This window comes from Homo sapiens, chromosome 12, assembly GCF_000001405.40.
Source record: "Homo sapiens chromosome 12, GRCh38.p14 Primary Assembly".
In the NCBI taxonomy this organism is placed as follows: domain Eukaryota; kingdom Metazoa; phylum Chordata; class Mammalia; order Primates; family Hominidae; genus Homo; species Homo sapiens.
The window spans coordinates 58,539,700-58,545,243 of NC_000012.12; the positions used below are offsets into that span (position 1 = coordinate 58,539,700).

The 5,544-nt window shown below is 38.9% G+C and overlaps 2 annotated features.

Annotated features, from left to right (window-relative positions):
- Nucleotides 847-1,141: an enhancer, noted in NCBI's record as "tiled region #15392; HepG2 Activating DNase unmatched - State 12:CtcfO, and K562 Activating DNase unmatched - State 13:Ctcf". NCBI's record gives its function as "activates a minimal TATA promoter and a strong SV40 promoter by Sharpr-MPRA in HepG2 and K562 cells {active_cell/tissue: HepG2 | K562}" and the evidence as "EXISTENCE:reporter gene assay evidence [ECO:0000049][PMID:27701403]".
- Nucleotides 871-1,040: an enhancer, noted in NCBI's record as "experimental_30031 CRE fragment used in MPRA reporter constructs". NCBI's record gives its function as "activates a minimal promoter by MPRAs in K562 erythroleukemia cells, with activity observed for both the introgressed and non-introgressed 12:58934438 variant alleles {active_cell/tissue: K562}" and the evidence as "EXISTENCE:reporter gene assay evidence [ECO:0000049][PMID:34662402]".

The following is a 5,544-nucleotide window of genomic DNA, read 5'->3' on the forward strand; positions in this document are numbered from 1 at the left end:
AGTGCTATTGCGGTCAATCAACCGGAAATCAGGGAAAGAAATCTCACATTTTCTGTGCCTTCCTTATTGTTTTAAGCGTGCTTCTGAAATGCTTTAAAATCATTGTCTTCAGAGTGTTTGTTAGTGCAGAGAAAAAAGGAGAGGATCTGGAATGGTTAAGCATACTGTTGTCTGTGATTTATCAAACCACACACGCAGACTTACTATTGAAGGAGAGACAATACCATCTAAACCAGCATGGGAGTTATTGTTTGATTTGATACTGAGCTTTTCTGTGTTTATTGGTCATCTTTGGTCTCATGAAAAATTTATTCTATGTCTAAGGGAGCTCCAATATAAATAAACACTAGAAATACATTTGTAGGAGGCTGTTCTCTAGAATAACTCAGTATTGCTCTCTGCATGGGGCATCACCTGCTGAATAAACCCAAAACCATCATCTGGGGAGTCGCTCTAGGTAAACTTCCTTGAGGTAAGCTGTGCTGTAGAGATAGGAACCTCTAATCATGTTTCAAATACTAAACATACCAGTGTGCTTTTCTTTTAAAAAGAGGAATCCTATTCACTTGACTTTATTTGTTTTTGAAAAAAAAAATGAACCCTTTATTTGGAGAATATTTTAGAAATTTAGGGCAAGGAAAATATTCTGCTCCTAGATGAGTGCTTTTGCTTGTATGATCCTGCACTGACAGTGAACAATACAGTAGATGAATTACTGATTTATTTATTTAAAAGCGAATGCACTGGATTTAAAAACAGCTTGCCTACAACAAAGAAATATGCCCCTTAAGGTTATTTAGTCCATTTATTGCTGATACTAATTAAACAATGACCTAGGCTTTTCACAGAGTGATTACTCTTAATGAAAAATTAACTATGGTCTCCTAATAAAGATAGCACACAAAACAAGTTGTACAGAGTGGTGTGACCTGACCTAGGATATCGCGTGTAAGTGCGACAGCTCCTGTAGATGGCAGTGGAGCACTTCCGCAAATGCTTTGGCCTGGCGTTCTGGGCCTGGGGTTGAGGGATGCAAAGGATAAAAGCTGCAGCAAGAGCAGGCGTGCCCTCCAGCCAGCAAGTTAACTAAGCTGCTGGTTCACTACTGCACTTCATAGTTGCCCTCTAAATGATTTTTTTCTGAACTCAGCAAAAGTACAAAGTGTTCCTGCCTGCACCCCAAATTGTCCTTTTAGTGAGGTAGGTTTTTATGTTTTATGCTTTCTATTTTTTGAATTTCAGAGTTATTTTGGAGATCTGACCTAAACATTCCTCTTCTTGAATTGCAAAAGCAATTAGCTTAGCTGCTCACACTCTTAAAGAGAGAATAAAAATCTCCTAAATGGAGACAATCGTAAACTACATCTGTCATACAAGTCAATGCAGCACAATCCAAAATAAAGATCTGTCAGCATAAACTATAACCAGATTTCATAGTCCTTAACTTTTTCTCTTGCTTGGATTGTTTTCCTTCTTTCCTTTTCTCTTAAGCCTTTTATTAAAAACTGTCCTCCGCTATGCTCACAGGAGCTACATGACTGAAATTGGAAAAGCAATCTAGCAATCACAGATTTAGGTAATTTTTAATGAAATTAAGATATTATATCGATTATTTTTGTCATTGTTTTGGCCTTTGAAGCTCAATCAGCGTTATATTCTATTATAGAGGAATGGTTGTTCTGAAAGAATTTGTGGAGTTGTGCCTGTCATTTCAGGATGAATTTCCTCGCTCAGCTCCCCCAAATTTCCCATTCTTTCAGCAGCAAGAGGGAACACTGCATGCACAGTGTTAACTTCACACATTCCTGACATACTTGCTACATTAACAGAGCTATGTTCCAGGGAATTGAAATATCTATTGTAACTGTAGGAAGGGCTTTCTTCCCATAACTTTTACCTTGTACCCAGAAAATGTATGTCAAGAATCAAGAAATGGCAAGTTTAGATATGGATGATGCATAGGAATCTGTTGTTGATATAGTTGGTATGGAAATTGTATAGGCAGAATTCTGCACACAGTAGGAATCATTTTGTTGAATAAATGAAAGCTAAAATGGAAGTAAAAATTAGAATAAACCCAGGGCAGAAGAAACAGTGACTAGTTTTCTGAAAGCTCAGGAAAATATCAAAAATATTTGAAAAAAAATGGAAATTTAAACCTTAGGAGGCCAAAAAGGTCCTGGGCTTATGCTCTTAGGTATAGGAAGAGGGCTAAAGAGGTGAGCAAAGAACATGAGAAGATATTGGCAAGTGCTATGGCTCATGCCTGTAATCCTAGTGACTCAGGAGACTGAGGCTGGAGGATCACTTGAGACCAGGAGTTTGAGACCACCCTGGACAGCATAGTGAGACCCCACCTCTAAAATAATAATAATAATAATAACAATAATAATAATAATAATAATAATAATAATAAAAGTAGCCATGTGTGGCTGATTCCTGTAATTCCAGACACTGGCCTCTAGCCTGGACAAAGAATGTGATTCTCTCACAAAAAGAAAAAAAAAAAAGATATGTTTGAAAAGATGAAGGGAAGGGCATGTCAATATGCATCAGAGGAGATTAGCAAAGAGCTAATGACCTGGTGCTACACTGAGTGGTTAAAAGAAGATTAGGGAAGGGAATCTGGAAATTATGGAAGACAGGATGCAATTACACAACCAAAAATGAGGCCCAGAGGAGAGAAGGATCAAGAGATACAAGGGTGGGGAATGGTGTGTAACTTCATCAATTAGGTATCATAGCAGGTCTTCTATCGTAAAGCCAATGCTTTCTTTTCAAGACTTCAGATGAAGGTGCATTTGTGTGGAGTAAGGGCTCATAAAAGGGAATAGTGCATTCTTTATTTTATGATAAAGAAACAAAAACCAAAACGAAATCATCCTCAATTGCTCTGATGTTCTAAAATAGATGATACTTTCTGTAAGCCAAAGGCCTGATTAAATTTGTACCAGTTTAGAATTGCTGACCAATAGGAAGCCAATTAAAAATTGCCAGGACCTCCCCCAAACCAGGTACAAGATTAAATTTCTTGTCTTCTTTGATCATTTTGTTGGTCATTGATGATGAAAACATTACTAATGTTGGTCATTGTCCTTATTGGTCATTGATGGTGAAAACATGAACCCAGTAGAAAGCAAGAGCCCTCAGTAACAGGTACATGACAATTGGACATAGCCCATTTAATGCTACCATTTTGAAGGGTACAGCTTTTGATGCCATGACAGTTTTATATAGTATTTTTTAGACACTCCTTAACATTAAAAATTTTAAACTACTAAATATTGAGGTCACTTGGCATTCTAACCCCAACTGACCATCTCACTCAATATTTACCTAAGGCCCAAAGACAAGATGAGGCCTCAGAATGGAGTAAGCCTCAGGCATTGGGTAGACCCGTTATGGAGTGAGAGGTAGGGCAAAGAGGGAGTTAGAAGTAGGGTGGGAGAAAGAATTGATTGATGAAGGGGTGGCCTGACCCTCCACACCTGTGGGCTTTTCTCATCGGGTGGGATGAGAGACTGAGAAAAGAAAGAGACACAAGAGACAAAGTGTAGAGAAAGAAAAGTGGGCCCAGGGGACCGCGCTCAGCATACGGAGGACTCGGGCCAGCACCGGTCTCTGAGTTCCCTCAGTATTTATTGATCATTATCTCTACCATCTCGGAGAAGGGGATGTGGCAGGACAATAGGGTAATAGTGGGGAGAGGGTCAGTAGGAAAACATGTGAACAAATGTCTCTGTATCATAAACAAGGTTAGAAAATGTGCTGTGCTTTGATGTGCACATACATAAACATATCTGGTGCATTAAAGAGCAGTATTGCTGCCAGCATGTTTCACCTCCAGCCTTAAGGCAGTTTTCTCCTATCTCAGTAGATGGAACATACAATCGGGTTTTACACCGAGACATTCCATTGCTCAGGGACAGGCAGGAGACAGATGCCTTCCTCTTATCTCAACTGCAAAGAGGCCTTCCTCTTTTACTAATTCTCCTCAGCTCAGACCCTTTACGGGTGTCGGGCTGGGGGACAGTCAGGTCTTTCCCTTCCCACGAGGCCATATTTCAGACTATCACATGGGGAGAAACCTTGGACAATACCTGGCTTTCCTAGGCAGAGGTCCCTGCTGCTTTGCGTTTTGTGTACCTGGGTACTTGAGATTAGGGAGTGGTGATGACTTTTAACAAGCATGCTGCCTTCAAGCATTTGTTTAACAAAGCACATCCTGCATAGCCCTAAATCCATTAAACCTTGAGTCGACACAGCACATGTTTCTGCGAGCACAGGGTTGGGGGTAGGGTTACAGATTAGCAGCATCACAAAGCACAATAATTTTTCTTAGTACAGAACAAAATGGAGTCTCTTATGTCTACTTCTTTCTACATAGACAGTAACAGTCTGATCTCTCTTTCTTTTCCCCACAGATTGAGCCTCGGGATGGAATAACTGTGAGATGTGTTTGTTGCATTCACATATACAGGTATGTCAAATGACTGACTAAAAAAGATCAGTCTAAATGTCCTGCTTTGTTCTAGGATATTTTAGGTTGACCTCAGTGGGATAATTCATGTTGTGCCAGGCCATTTTATGCTTGAGTTTAAACTAACTTTCATGATGGATAACTTAAGTTTGCATTTTTTTTTAGCATTCTACGTTTTCCTCCTCCCCTCTTTTCTTCTTTCTTTCCTTTGTCTTCCTTCATGCTTCCCTTTTTTCCATCTCTTACTTCCTTTTAAATGATTTCCTTCCCTTCTTCCTTTCTCCTCTCTGTCTCCTTTCATTCTTTCCTCCTTCCTTCCCTCATTAAGTCCCTTCTTCCCTTTCTTCTCTCTTCCCTCCTTCTCTCTTTCTTTCTCTCCTGTTTTCTTCTTAATTTTCTTCTTTTCTCTCTCCCTCATTCCTCTTAATTTCTTTCCTTACTACTTTCTTTTCTTCCTCAGTTTCTTCTTTCCTTCTTTCCTCCCTCATTCTCTCTCCCTCTTCCTCTCTTCCTTTCATTCAACTTTTATTAATTGCACACTGTGTGTTAGGCACTTTGCTAAGCACTCAAGAAAAATTTACATCCTTGGAGAAATATTAAAAGGTGGAGTGATGGGCAGATTGAATTTTTTAGATGAGTCAAAGAATTTCTTTCCAATCCATCACACCCTATTTATTCCGCACATTTAAGAAAAGTCATTTAAAAGATAATCATCATTTAGGATCTCCACAAAAGTTTTTCCACTTACAGTAATGGAACAAATGCTATTTATATTTAGAGTTATAATTACACACAGGGATTAAAGTTATTGTCTTGTGATCTCTCATTTTTGTGTTCCCAAGGTTTCAGTGGAGGTGAGAAAGTCTAAAATAGGAAGTCATAAGCCAAAAAAAAAAAAAAAAAATCCTTGAGGAGCCTTTGTGCTTAAACTGGTGGCTTAATGTAGGGTGATAGGCTTTTAGGAGTACAGATTTGCTCAAAAGTTAATTTAAAAGAAAAAAGTCAAGCCCGTTACCATTCTGGAAGCCTAGCCTCTATGCAATCTGAAAATCACAAAGCCCAAA